The 15,603-nt window shown below is 36.3% G+C and overlaps 1 protein-coding gene across 15 annotated transcripts in view; it reads right to left on the bottom strand.

Moving 5' to 3' along the window:
* Positions 1 to 10,431: 10,431 nt before the first annotated feature.
* Positions 10,432 to 15,603, bottom strand: part of USP25 (ubiquitin specific peptidase 25) — a 150,083-nt gene continuing 144,911 nt past the window's right edge. For all 15 annotated transcript variants that reach the window (NM_001352560.2, NM_001388301.1, NM_001388302.1 and 12 more), the window contains 2 exons: positions 12,505 to 12,700; positions 10,432 to 12,193 (listed from right to left, as the gene is read on the bottom strand). In NM_001352560.2, the coding sequence (NP_001339489.1) occupies positions 12,021 to 12,193; positions 12,505 to 12,700 (369 nt within the window). In that variant the 3' untranslated portion in view covers positions 10,432 to 12,020. The remainder of the gene's footprint in view (positions 12,194 to 12,504; positions 12,701 to 15,603) is intronic.

Here is a 15,603-nt window from a genome sequence, read left to right as displayed (position 1 = left end):
TGAGGGGCATATGAACCTAATAGGACAAACAATATTCTTTATGAATAAGAATATTAATATTGAAAAGGTGCCACAATTTATGTGACCCATGCAATGTCGTATGTATCTATGTATCCTGTATTATAATCAGAATACCAATAGAACCTGTATTTGAAGGAAGATTAAATAATTCTACAGTTTATCTGTAAAAGAGTATGGAATTATGAAAGAGATAAGGGTGTATGTGTTGGGAAGTAATACTTGACCTATTAGGTATGAAACCTTGTATTAGTTATAAAACAAATATTTTAAATATATAGTCAAACAAGAAGCAACAATAATTAAATCAGTGAAAGTAGCTGAACAGACAAAATAGAACTGAATAGTATTTGTAAATATCAAACATAAATATGATTATCTAGTGGAAGTTACATTTTAGATCAATGAGGAAGAGCAGGAATTATTTTATAAATGGTATTATGACAACCAGATAATACTGACAGAAAATGTTGACTATTTCACTACTTTAATGTAACTGTCAACTGCATTAAAGACTGATCTAAAAATGAAATCATAAAAATATCAGGAGAAACATGAGTATTTTTATAACCCTGACCAGAGAAAATTCTAAACATTATACCTAAGGCAGAAATAGTAGAGCACCACTACGTAAGCATGGTTATAATGCAATAATAAATAAACTAATTGTAAAAATATTTGCAACGTGTATAATAATGATTCCTAATATGAGCTACTGCCAAGTTACAGACATAAACACCCAAAAGAAAAAGTGTAAAGGATGTAAACAGGTAGTTAACTATACAAGAAATACAAATAGTCAATTAACATATTGGAATATGCTCTCACTAAAAATTTTGAAATGCGAAGAACACACTTTTGGCTATCAAACAAATTAAAGGTCAATAATATTCTGTTATTGAATGTATGAAAGAACAGTCTCATGTACTATTGGTGGCAGTGTAAACTGTAACATCTTTGGTGAAGGGCAGTTTGAAAAATGTAGCTCAAAATTTTAAATCTACATATTCAGTGACCCAGACAGAAATTATACCTTGAGAAATTTTAGTGGAAAGACAAAGTGCATAAAGTATATAGAGACATATGTAGCAGCCTATGCTCTATGTCCACAGGTAAATAGTAATGGAGCATTCTCCTTATAATCAAATACTATACAGCAGGAGAGAGGTAGATGAATACACACTTTCTTGGAAACATCTGCATTTATAAACTTTTTATGATATTGTGATGTGTGTACATGCATATGCACAGAAAGATGTCCACAGGCACGAACACAAAAATGTCAACAGTCCCTAAGTCTGGATTTATAGATGAATTTGGGTGAATTATTACTTTTGTCTTATTATCTAAGTTTTATTTTATATACATACCACCTGATAGATTGTGTGGCATGTGGTAGGCACTCAATAAATGAATGGATGGACATGAACACCTGACTATAATATGCAGATTCATCCACTGTCAATTTTAAAAGTTAAGCACTATATAGCAGCATTACAGTCTCGTTTAACAGAAAAGAGTAACAAGATTTCAATTCGAACTAGTACACTTATTCTTGAGGGCCCAGAATTTCTCTACAAATTCCTGAGTATCTGGCGTTTTAGGGACTAATACCTTTAGATAAAAATGAGTCTTTGAAGGAAACCAGTGTGCTGGTTCTTCATCTATTGTTTCTCAGCTCCAATTCCACCCTTCTGTCCTCTGCTCTGTGTGCTGAGGCCGGGACTCTGCAAACTACACTTCTCTGACCCCTCTGACTGCTGCTTATTAGGTTCTGCCAGTAGGAAGTACTACAGGGAAGTTGGCAGGAAGATGAAAAAAGATCTAGTTCATCTCTGATGGCTAGTCCTATCAGCTTTGTAATAACGGCAGCAAATTCCAGCCTTCAACTACTTCGAAACTTCTAGAACTGTCGTTACTTTACCCCTCAGAATTACCATGAGCAGGTAGGTGGTAAGCCTCCTCAGGGGTCTGAGCACTAATGCCATGATGACCCTTTTTGGAGCTTTAAGGCTCTGGCAGCCCCAATTTTTTCCCATTTGTTTTCTTACCCTTAGGACTAGTAGCTGCATCCTACAGTTGTGATCCCCGGGTTACTCTCTAATGCCTCTGTACTCACATCTCCTCTGTTGAAATATGTAGTGTCGGCTTTCCTGATTGGACACATGCTGGTAGTGGTGCTCTCTGCAGAGCAGACATAGTAAAGTCATCAATTGCAGGATCAAGATAGAGAGACATAAATGCTGAAGGCCAATCTATTAAGGTTAGCATTTGGGAGGTGTCTGAATGTTAAAAGGATGTTAATACAGAAAGACATCCACATCAGCAAAGGTCTGCTGGGGCAGCTCTGTCCAATGAAACTTCCTATGATAATCGAAATGTTCTAAAATGTTGTCCAATATAGTAGTCAACAGTAACATGTGGCTATGAGCATTTGAAATATAGCTAGTATTACTAATTAACAGAATGTTCAATTTTATTTAAATTTAAATGGCTAACGAAAACTGTATCAGTGCAGGTCTAGGGTGACTGGAGGGTCAGAAAACCTGCAAGACTGCACCTCTAAGTTGCTAGTTATTTTAACAGGTGCTAGGATTACAAAAACAAGAGATACAATCTCCTGTTAAGAGCTCAGTCCAGCAGTGGAAGACAGACATGTAAAACAAACCACTTTAAAAGATTATTCTGTCAACAGTGTGAAGATGAATTTCAGGGGCAAAATCAAAGACAGTGCTACTCAGGGACAAATCTAACAGTCAAACTAAGAGATGACGGACCTCATCAGCCATAGTACTAAGGAGTATTAAAAAATCTGACATGCTGACACTTGGTAATCAATGGGAGGTAAAAGTAGAATTGAGAATAATTCATTTTGGGATTATTACATCATTTCATCAAGGGAGTATGAGACAATCAGATTTGGGAAAAAGTGATGAATTCAGATGTGCCAAGTCGAAAGTGTCTGCGAAACATCCAGGTATATGTGATGAAAAGACAACTGCAAATATGTATTGGTTTAGAACTCACATGGGTATGATTAGAAAACAATGACCTGTGATTCATGGAGGCAGAATAAGAAGACAAACTAACAGACACAACCAGAAAAAGTGAAAAGCATGAGGAAGGGGCCAAGTACCAAACCTTGAGCACAACTTTAAGAAGTAGGGAGAAAAAAAAAAACACTAGGAATGCAGGTAGAGGATGGAAGCTAAAGATCCTCAAAACCAGAACAGGAGTAAACAATACTGACAAACTATAAAAAGGGCTCACAATTATTGAATACTTAATGTGGCAGACAGTTTCTAAACGTTTTATATCTGGAAACCCATTTAATCTTTTAAAAAATCCTCTAAGGTGTGTTATGTCATAATGCCCATTTTATAGATGAAGAATCTGAGGCACGGAAAAGTTAAATCACTCATTCAAGGTCAACACACAGCGAATAAACGGCAGAGCCAGAATCTGAATCCAGGTAGTTTGGTTCCAGAACCTGCACTGTTAACCATTCATAAGAGAAAAATCCAGTAGGGACTGAAAAATATTTTCATGCAGCTTTGGCTAGAGCACGTCAAAAGTGGGCATGGTCTATGGCTGAGGGAACATCAGCAATCTGAAGACCCCTGCCCTTTCATGTGACATACAGTACTGTAAAAAGCAAATTCCTCCACACTACTTTAGCTAGGCTCAATCACATAGTAGGGCCACAGGCAAATCTTAAATTAAAATTGGAAAAACAACTATCTAAACTCCAATTCTCACATTTGAAGCCCTGTAATACACATGAGAGATAACATCTGGACACTTTAAAGAAAAAAAAGTTCCTCATATGCTTTTGACGAACTAGGTTAGGAATATGGGTCTAGGTCAGGTGCAGTAGCTTGCACCTGTAATCGCAGGGGTATGGGAGGCGGAGGTGGCAGGATCACTTGAGTCCAGAAGTTTGAGACTAGCCTGGACAACATAGTGAGACCTCATCTCTACAAAAAATTAAAAAATTAGCCAAGCACAGTGGCTTGCACATATAGTCCCAGCTACTTCAGAGGCTGAAGTGGGAGGATTGTTTGAGCCAGAGAGTTGGAGGTTGCAATGAGAGGAGACTGCACCACTGCACTCCAGCCTGGGAAACAGAGCGAGACCCTGTTTCAAAAAACTAAAAATACACACAAAAACTCCACAAAATAAAAACAACAGAAGAATACTGGTCTAGCTCTACATTACTGAAAAAATAAGGAGCTGTTTGCTACAGGGCAAACATGTTGTATGAGATAGTCTCGGGGGAAAAAGTGAGCTTTCTGGATTACTGCTGGAGAAGAGCAAACACACTCCCAAAATAGTGGACACTTGTTGAAATTTGTAAGCTCATTTCATAGTATATTCTGATTCTATTTCTATTTTCTAAATAATATTGGGTTATCAATGTTTATCCCTTCATTACAAGCTGGTTAACAACTAATTTAGATAGGAGGCACAAAAGTTGAAAGGAGGATCATACCTAACATCTCCAGTTTTCTTCGTTAGGCAAAGAAAAGATCATCCAGCGTTACAGAAGCTGGCACTGAATAGGAGAGGCTGAGGATGGGAGTGAAGGTCTGAAATACCCACTGAGAACTGTACATGGAAGGAATAAGAATATCTGAAATCTTGGTGTGCATGTGTGCAGTTTCTCCAATCACGTTTCGTTTATTTTTATTCTATTATTATCACTGCTATGTTATTTCACTTTATTATATTTTAAGTCACTCCTACAAAGCTAATTAGAAAAAGAAGAAACTGAAGGTTGGAAAGTACAAGGGGAAGACAGGGGAAAGGATGTGTAAAATAGATGAAATTTAATTTTTGTAAAAACAATGACCGTCTCCCCCCTTCCACCACCACCCCCTAAAAAAACCACCACCCTTTAGGTGTATATGCTGCATAAGGTTATCCAAACATGGAAAAGTATGTGGCTACGGTGGTTAGTGGTCATTAACTCTAGGCTGGGAGTGGTATGGAAGACGAAAAAGGGACATGTGATCAGTAAGAATAAAAACACTAGCAAAACAGAAATATATTCATGGTATAATGTCAGGTGAAACTGATGAAATAAACATGAGTAAACATGGAAATAAAAGTTTGTTCAGTAAGAACACTGAGCTGATTAGATGAATGCATTATAAGCAATTTCTAACTCGGATTGCTATACTTTCAATATAGTTTTTAGAAAAAGTAAAATAAAGCTTACGTAAGAACGGAACTACAGATATTTGCACTGTATCTTGAGGCTAAAGAGAAGACATTAACAACCATATTCTTGTTTCTGGAAAGCAGGTATATAAACTGGGCTGTCACATACTATTTTTTTTACTAAATTGTCCCCCAGATTCATAAATTGAAGCCCTAACCCCCTAACATGACTGTGTTTGGAGACAGGGCCCTTAAAGAGATAATTAAGGTTAAGTGAGTTCATAAGGATGGGGCTCAAATCCAATGTGACTGGGGTCCTTATAAGAACTGGAAGAGAGGCCAGGGATGCAGCACACAGAAAAGGCTAGGTGAGGACACAGAGAAAAGGCTAGGTGAGGACACAGAGAGAAGGTGGTGGTCTGCAGGCCAAGGAGAGAGGCCTTAGGGGAAATCAAATCCACCAACAGCTTGATCTTAGACTTCCAGCTTCCAGAACCAGAAGAAAAATTTCTGTTGTTTAAGGCACCAAGCCTGTGTTATTTTGTTATGGCATATCTTAGCAGACTAATATATATATTTTGGATGAAGTTATCATGGGCACAACAAATGGTATTTAATGTTATTTACAATGTAAATTTTTAAAAATTCAAACAAGAGTATTCCCATTTACCATCCACCTCCACTTCCCCAAGCATCCACATTTTTATTCGCTGGGAGAATGACAGGACCCAGAGGCATAACTCGACAAGTTTAAATCATAAAATAAAGATGCTGAACTTTTGGAGAATCAGATACCTATCTTATTCTCAATTACATGTAATTGAGCAAAAAAAAAAAAAAAAAAATTAGATACTTCCTTGAAATCCCAAGTGAAGGAAACACAAAAAAGCTTCCAACAGAGCACAAGTGAATGAAAATTAAACAGCATCAATTTACAGTGCACAAATGCTACCAATAGTTTCATTTAGTGCAGTGGCTCTGAAACTAGTAAACATCAAAATTATCTGAAGGACTTGTTGTAACACAGGTTACGTGAAGAGTTTCTGAACTGGCAGCTCTGAGGTGGGACTCAAAAATTTTCAATTCTAACATGTTCCCAAGCTGCTGAAGCTGTCTACTGATCTGGAGAACACACACTGAGAACTACTAAAGTGTATGGTCATTGTTGTATCATAATGGATGTGAAACGTATTAGAGGGGTCCCTACATGTTCATTCATGCGTACTGGTCTCCTGAGATGTCTGAAGTTCTATCTATATGAATTCTACCCTGAATTATTTCAAAACGTAACTTTTTTGGGGTAGGAAGGAATAACATAGTAACCAAAATAAGAGTCATTTAAATCAAATGAAATCTGCTATGGACTACAGTTCTATGAGGTTCAAATTCCGAAGTTATTAGCTATAAGTTATATTTAACATGGTAAATTATATAAAGAAATTTCAAATACAACATACCAGCATCTCTGGGACACAGCTAAAGCAGTGTTAAGAGGGAAATTTATAGCACTAAATGACAATATCAAAAAGCTGGAAAGATCTCAACAACCTAATATCCCAACTAAAGTAACTAGAAAACCAAGGGCAAACAAACCCCAAAGCTTAGCAGAAAACAAGAAATAACCAATATCAGAGCTGAACTAAAGATAGAGACCCCCCCAAAAAAAAGCCCTTCAAAAAAAAATCAAAATCACACAATCCAGGAGCTAATTTTTTTTTTTTTTTGAGACAGAGTCTCGCTCTGTCACCCAGACTGGAGTGCAGTGGCACGATCCCAGCTCACTGCAAGCTCTGCCTCCCGAGTTCATGCCGTTCTCCCGCCTCAGCCTCCCGAGTAGCTGGGATTACAGGCACCCGCCACCATGCCCGGCTAATTTTTTTTTTTTTTTTTTTGTATTTTTAGTAGAGACAGGGCTTCACTGTGTTAGCCAGGATGATCTCAATCTCCTGACCTCGTGATCTACCCGCCTTGGCCTCCCAAAGTGCTGGGATTACAGGCGTGAGCCACTAGGAGACCACTAGACTAATGAAGAAAAGAGAGAAGATTCAAATAAACACAATCAGAAATAAGTGGGCTCTTACCACTAACCCCATAGAAAGACAAGTCAGATAATATTATGAACACCTCTATTCACATAAATTAGAAAATCTAGAAAAAAATCATACATTCCTGGACATATACACCCTCTCAAGGCTGAAACAGGAAGAAATTGAATCCCTGAACAGACCAATAATGAGTTCTGAAACTAAGGCAGTAGTAACAGCCTACCAACCAAGGAAAGTCCAAGACCAGGCAGATTCCCAGATGAATTCCACCAGAGGTACAAAGAAGGGTCAGTTGCTATCACTGCTCCTGAAACGATTTCAAAAGATTGAAAAGGAGGGACTCCTCCCTAACTCATTCTATGAGGGCAGCATCAGCCTGATACCAAAACCTAGCAGACATACAACGTCAACAACAACAACAAAAACTTCAGGCCAATATCCCTGATGAACACTGATGCAAAAATCCTAAACAAAATACTGGCAAACTGAATACAGTAGCACATCAAAAAGCTTATCCACCACGATCAAGTAGGCTTCATTCCTGGGATACAAGGTTGGTTCAACATACAAAAATCAATAAATGAGATTCATTGCATAAACAGAACTACAGACGAAAACCACATGATTACCTCAATAGATGTGGAAAAGGCCTCTGATAAAATTCAATATCACTTCATGTTAAAAATTCTCAATAAACTAGGTATTAAATGAACATACTGCAAAATAATAAAAGCCACCTATGACAAACCCTCAGCCAGCATCACATTGAATGGGCAAAAGCTGAAAGCACTTCCCTTGAAAACCTGTAAAAGACAAGGCTGTCTCTCTCACCACTCTTATTCCCCATAGTATTGGAAGCTCTGACAAGAGCAATCAGGCAAGAGAAATAAATAAAGGTATTCAAATAGGAAGACGGAAATCAAACTATCTTTGTCTGCAGATGACATGATCCTGTATCTAGAAAATCCCATCTCAGCCCAAAAGCTTCTTAAGCTGATAAGCAACTTCAACAAAATCTCAGGATACAAAATCAATGTGCACTAAGTGCTAGCATTCCCATACACCAAAAACAGGCAAGCCAAGAGTCAAATCACAAGTGAACTCCCATTCGCAACTGCCACAAAAAGAATACAATACCTAGGAATACAGCTAATAAGGGACGTGAAGGAGCTCTTCAAGAACTATAAACCACTGCTCAAGGAAATCAGAGAGGACACAAACAAATGGAAAATAAAATTCATGCTCATGGATAGGAAGAATCAATATTGTAGAAATATCCATACTGCCCAAAGCAATTTATAGATTCAGTGCTATTCCCATTAAACTACCAATAACATTATTCACAGAATTAGAAAAAACTTTTAAAATTCATATGGAACCAAACAAAACAAAACGAAACAAAAAACCAAACCTGAGTAGCCAAGGCAATCCTAAGCAAAATGAACAAAGCTGGAGGCATCACACTACCCAAATTCAAACTACAGTACAAGGCAACAGTAACCAAAACAGCATGGTGCTGTTACAAGAACAGACACATAGAGACCAATGGAACAGAATAGAGAACTCGGAAATAAGACCACACACCTACCTATAGCCATCTGATCTTCTACAAACCTGACAAAAACAAATAATGGGAAAAATATTTCTTATTTAATAAATGGTGCTAGGAGAACTGACTAGCCATATGCAGAAAACTGAAACTGGACACCTTCCTTACACCATATACAAAAATCAACTCAAGATGGATTAAAGACTTAAATTTAAAACTCAAAACTATAAAAACGCTAGAAGAAAACCTAGGCAATACCATTCAGGACATAGGAATGGGCAAAGATTGCATGACGAAGTGTCAAAAGCAATTGCAACAAAAGCAAAAACTGACACACGGGATCTGATTAAACTAAAGAACTTCTGCATGGCAAAACTAACAACAGAGTAAAAAAGACAACCTACAGAATGGGAGACAATTTTTACAATCTGTGCATATGACAAAGGTCTCATATGCAGCATCTATAAAGAACTTATGATATTGACAAGAAAAAAGAAAACCCATTAAAAAGTGGGCAAACGACATGAACAGACACTTCTCAAAAGAAGACATACATGAGGCCAACAAGTATATGAAAAAAAGCTCAGTATCACTGATCATTAGAGAAATGCAAATCAAAACCACAATGAGACACCACCTCACACCAGTCAGAATGGCTATTATTAAAAGTCATAAAAACAACAGATGGTAGCGAGGTTATGGAGAAAAAGGAACACTTTTACACTGTTGGTGGAAGTGTAAATTAGTTCAACCATTGTGAAAGACTGTGATGGTTCCTCAAAGACCTAAAGAGAGAAATACCATTTGAGCCAGCAAACCCGTAACTGGATATATGCTCAAAGGAATGCAAATTGTTCTCTTATAAAAACATGCACGTGTATGTTCACTGCAGCACTATTCACAATAGCAAAGGCATGGAATCTAACCTAAATGCCAGTCAGTGATAGACTGGATAAAGAAAACGTACATATACGCCATGGAATACTATGCAGTCATAAAAAGGAATGGGATCATGTCCTTTGCAGGGACACAGATGAAGCTGGAGATCATTATCCTGAACAAACTAACATAGGAACAGAAAACCAACTACTGCATGTTCTCATAAGCGGGAGCTAAACGATAAGAACATATTGGACTCAATGGTGGAAGGAACAACACACACTGGTGTCTGGCAGAGGGTGGGGGCTGGGAGGAGGAAGAGGATCAGTTAGAATAGCTAGTGGATGCTGGGGTTAATACCTGGGTGATGGGATGATTTGTGCAGCAAACCACCATGACACACATGTACCTCTGTAAGAAACCTGCATGTCCTGCACATGGACCCCTGAACTTAAAAGTTGGAAATTTAAAAAAAAAAAAAAAAAGAAATTTCAATGATCTAAACCTTACAATTAGATTAAAAACCAATATTAAAATAAGTTGTTTCTGTAGGTCTTGAAAAAGGTCACTTTTCTTTAAATAAGTTATTTCAAATTCATTACTAGGAATAAATAATCTGGTTTTTAAGTACATAGTAAATACAATTATAATACTTACCTTCAGCACAAGAGTGACATGATTCTCTGGATGTGACTTTGAAGGAATAATTTCCATATAGTGTTTGGGCACTTTGTATCTCAGCAGTCAATTATACACAAACACAAACAACTTTACCACTGTGGTAGAATGTCATAAAATATTAAGGATACTTTCTTTACAAAAGCTGTGATGACACATATGAAGTTTCTAAACTTTTAACAGGACTGGAAAACCAATGCAGAAATCTGCTCAGTAGACAACTTAAAATCTAAACCCAAACATATTTTGATAGATACAATATGCAAAATCTAACTTTACAACAGGAATAGTACTAATTCCTTGTCATTAACACCTTACTAGTACATTAATACCTTTACAAACAGCATCATATAATAGCATAATATTTCATCTTACTCCTCCATCCAGGATCTTTTGTGAGAGGCACTAATAAAGAACACTAGTTTTGGCGACGCTGTATCAAACATACACATAGTATAATGGTCTATTTTACTATGTTCACAAAACATCATTTATAAAGAAATTTTTATGAATTCAAAAATAGGTTGTTAGTAACATGATTACCTTTAAAGTATGGATTTTGATTTTCATTCACAATATTAATTCATTAATCTTAAACAGTAGTTTCATCTACAAAATGTTCTACAGCTTTTTCCTTTTTGAAAAGGAATAAAGGCAGTTAAGATACTCATAACTTCTAGTTAAACAACATCAATTTTGTTTCACAGTATTAATTAGTAGAGAACATTTTCAATTAAAGTGATATACAATTTACAAAAATAGAATGATTTATATATTGCAAAACATTGTCCTCCATTATGAAGAATATATATATACATGTGTGTATGTGTATATATGTGTATATATAAATATTTCTTTTAAATTTTACAATAGCCCTTATTCAAGTACTTTGGGATTCTCTTGAAATAATCACCTTGCTGTATATTGTAAATACATTTAAAAAGTAAGATTAATCTAAGAAAAGGATAAAAGTTTCAGTGTAGTTTGACTTAAAAAAAATCAACCACTTACTTGAGTAAAAACCTGACTGAATTCAAAACAGGTTCCGGTGCCATACTAAGTTCAAGAACTTTGTTAAAAATATAGATAAATTTAAGTGTCAAAGACTTAAACATTTTCCAATTTGCTAGCATTAGAGCAGAATTAAAAGATTGTATTAATCTATTAACTATCCAATCTTAATCCCCAGACAAAATTCATTTATCTAGTATTACTAATACACTAATATACAATATACCTGCTTACAAACACATAGGTAGCCATAAATAAAACTTTATTCTTTATTTCATTTACAAGCTACCAAATATTATGTATCGTACACAGTGCTGAACACTTAAATGGCTGTAGTCATGGAAGGATCCAGACTGAATGGAAAGCTGTTGAGAAAGAAAAGATAAAAGCAAAGTAATACTGCAACAGGAAGGTGGCAAAAGCATAGTTTTGCCATAATAAAATCAATTAGATTTGTGATTATACATCAGTTCCGGTTAAAATGTCTGAGCGCCATGCGATTTTCAGCTTTATTGTCTGCAGTCTGACTAAAGTCTGTATAGTCATTTTGTCTTTTGCAGTTATTAAAATAAAAAAAAGTTAAAAACTATAGCAGCAACAAGCAAACCCTGTGACAGGAAGGCAAGGGTTAAGAACTAAAAAGAGTTTATACAGTGTGTTCAGGGAAAGTGTGCAGTTTATCTTCCATCAGCAGGAGTTCGACTGAGGGACAACATGATTCGGGCAAATCGCTCACAGAGTTCATGCGTGGAATATGAAGGTAACTTCGGTGGCTCATGGAAACTTTTAATCTCCATAGAACAATCAAGCAGTTTTGGCAAAAAATCTGTCAGCTTTTCTTGGAGGTGTGCTGCAAATACAAACAATTAAATCTAACTAAAGATAGAAATTATTACACGATCATTGTCAACATGATTTACTAATATTAACTTACTCTAATAGGTAAGATAATTGCCATTTTGGGGAGACAAAAACATAAATGGCAACTGCAATGCACACAGCTTAGTTCATCAATATGGAAAAAGAGTAATCATGTGAATGTGAAAATATTAATACTTAATATTGTATTTAATATAAAAAATGGCAAGAATAAATAACATCTAATTCTAACTGCATTTAATCCGGACATCTCAGGTGCCTACTACCATTGTTTAAACTTACGTTCCATTTCTTGACCAAGGTAGGAACACCATCGATTTCTCATATCTTCTACAGCTAGTATATCCTTTTCTTCCATTTCATCCACCAGTAATAATGGCAAAAATGGGACAATAAACTCATTCATGATAATCAAACCATTGTTTACTTCTCGATCCTCTCCAGATTCGAAGAGTTCTGCGGCTTGCTCATTTAATTTCTTAATGCAATGCAGGAAAAAAAAAAGAATAGGTTTTTGTTTCCTTTTTAAATTAAGGATCTGTAAGTATTAATAAGGAAGACAACATAAATATGTTCACAAACAGTATTAGAACAAACGGTATTTAGAGAAAACAATCTCAACCTATCTAGAACTGAAAATCTCTCTTTAGAAAAAGCTATGCATATGGCAACAACAGAAACAAAAGCAACAGCGGTGGAGAAAACATTATTGTGTTTTTCAGTCATGTTTGGCTTATGCCGATCATCAACACAGGGGCCATTTTTTCTTCTCTAGAGATTAACTTCCCCAAATTATAAAATTGTATAAGCACTCAAAATAGTTTTAAAAATAAAGAAATTCAGAATCCATATTAATTTTTGAAAAACTCATCTCCATTAATGGCAACTGAATATATACTATTGTATTCCTTGATACAGAAATATAAAGGTAATCAATTCACTTTTCCCTTCAAAAACTTCCTACAGAGTCAACACCACGTGCCAGAAATTTCTGCAGATGCAGGGGCACTCAAGTGATTAATACAGAAAACTCTCATGGAGCTTACAATTTGGTACAAGGATTGGCAAACTTTTTCTGTGAAGGGCCAGACGAGGACTATTATAGGCTTTGAAGGCCATGAAGTTTCTGTTGCAACTATTCAACTCTGCCATTGTAGTACAAAGACAATAATACCCAATATATAAATGAATGTGCATGGCTATGTTTCAATAAAACTTATCTATAAAAACAAGTGGTAGGTGGAGCACAAGCCATAGTGTGCTGATCACTGATCTAGTAGAACAGAGAAATCCATGCAATAAGAAACATAAGAGATAAATACAGGTATAAGACCTATAATATTTAAGGGTTCTTATTTAAAATCTTATGTTTACAGCATGATAAACATGACTTTTAAGCTGAATTTCAAATAAAAAAAGTTATATATTTAGATTTACACCACATAATTCTTATGCAATTTATTTTGATTTTGGAAAGATGGTTGTGCTATTAAGTCCAACTTGGCCATGAATCAATTACCCAATTGATATGGTTAGGCTTTGTGTCTCCACCCAAATCTTATCTTGAATTGTAACCCCCAGGTGTTGAGGAAGAGACCTGGTGGGAGGTGATCAGATCATAGGGACAGTTTCCCCAGTGCTGTTCTTGTGACAGGGAGTGAGTCTCATGAGATCTGATGGTTTCATAAGCATCTGGCATTTCCTCTGCTTGCACTTCTCTCTCCTGCCACCATGTGATGAAGGTCCTTGCTTCCCCTTCACCTTCCGCCATCATTTTAAGTTTCCTGAGGCCTCCCCAACCATGTGGAACTGTGAGTCAGTTAAACCTCTTTCCTTTATAAATTACCCAGTCTTGTGTAGTATCTTTATAGCAGTGTGAGAACGGACTAATACACCAATCGTGAACAGATTAGCTAAATCTGTTAGCTTCACTTTCTTTATATTAATAATAGGGTATTTTATCTTCCAACCATAGGGGTTAAGAGAATAAAATGAGATAAATCTTCAAGTATTTACTACAATTTTTGGAAGTATGCATTAAATGATATATAAAATTTAATGACAAGTTTAATGTTAAGTTCACTGAATCAAAGAATGTCCTGGAAATCTCTTAAATAAAACATGTTCAAAGCCAACCTTGTTCCTCCTATTAGACTCCCTAATATTAAACGAAAAACTAGTAAGTTTGGCAGCTTTGACTCTTCCATTTCCTTCTTCCCACTCACCCAACAGCTATGACATGCCGATTTCATTTCCTTCACCATCATACCTACCGTACTACATGAGTTGAGGTCCTCACTCTCCGTCCCTTGACTTTCCCCTCTAAGGTTCTTGACTTCAATCTACTTCTTTCCTGTTCATCCTCTAGAATGCTATTATTATTACCAGAATTATTTTCTGAAAACAAACCTCATTATGCCAAACCTAATCAAACTTACACTGGTGCAAACTCATTTGAATGTCATCTAAGTTTCTTCATCATCTGACATCGACAAGTATTGTCAGCTTCATCACTTCCACCTTACCCCACTTCCTCATAACCTGGATAGCCACAGTGAATTTATCTTGATTTTCTGTTGTGTACTGGAATATTCTCCCTTCTCTATCATGAATAAAACTTCTATTTATCCATCAAGATCCAGACGAGGTTTACCTTGTCTCTTAAGGTTCTTCCCAAATATTTCAGGCATATCATTGTGCATATTTCTCATAATGGCACTTATTCCAGAACAAACAATTATGTCTCCTACCAGACTGAGTTTTCTGAGGACAGGAAGTACATCTTACTCATGTTTGTATCCCTCAGAACCTGACACTTTGTAAATATACAACGTGAAAAAATCTGAAAGGAACACTAAAGTAATCTTGACGAGGTTTCATTTCAATTCCTATGTAAAACAAATAACCAAATGTGGCTGGGTTACTACAAAAAATGATGAGAAACATTATACCATTTTTTGAAGGTTTCAGAGGAACCATCAGGTTTTGGTTCTATGTATGTTTAAAGTCAGCTATACTATTCTTGTACCTGAAAATTCAATTTTTTAAGTTAAACAAATTACTCTAATACATTCTATGTATATTCTTGTTTTTTTGAGACAGAGTCTTGCTCTGTCACCTGGTTGCCAGGATGGAATGCAGTGGCGCGATCTTGGCTCAAGGCAACCTCCACTTCCCAGGTTCATGCGATTCCCCTGCCTCAGCCTCCTGAGTAGTTGAGACTACAGGCGCACACCACCATATCCAGCTAATTTTTGTGTTTGTGTATTTTAGTCGAGATGGGGTTTCACCACGTTGGCCAGGATGGTCTCGATCTCCTGACTTTGTGATCCACCAGCCTCAGCCTTCCAAAGTGCTAGGATTACAGGCATGAGCTGCTGC

Source organism: Homo sapiens, chromosome 21, assembly GCF_000001405.40.
Source record: "Homo sapiens chromosome 21, GRCh38.p14 Primary Assembly".
In the NCBI taxonomy this organism is placed as follows: domain Eukaryota; kingdom Metazoa; phylum Chordata; class Mammalia; order Primates; family Hominidae; genus Homo; species Homo sapiens.
This window is presented reverse-complemented; position numbering and strand designations above follow the sequence as displayed.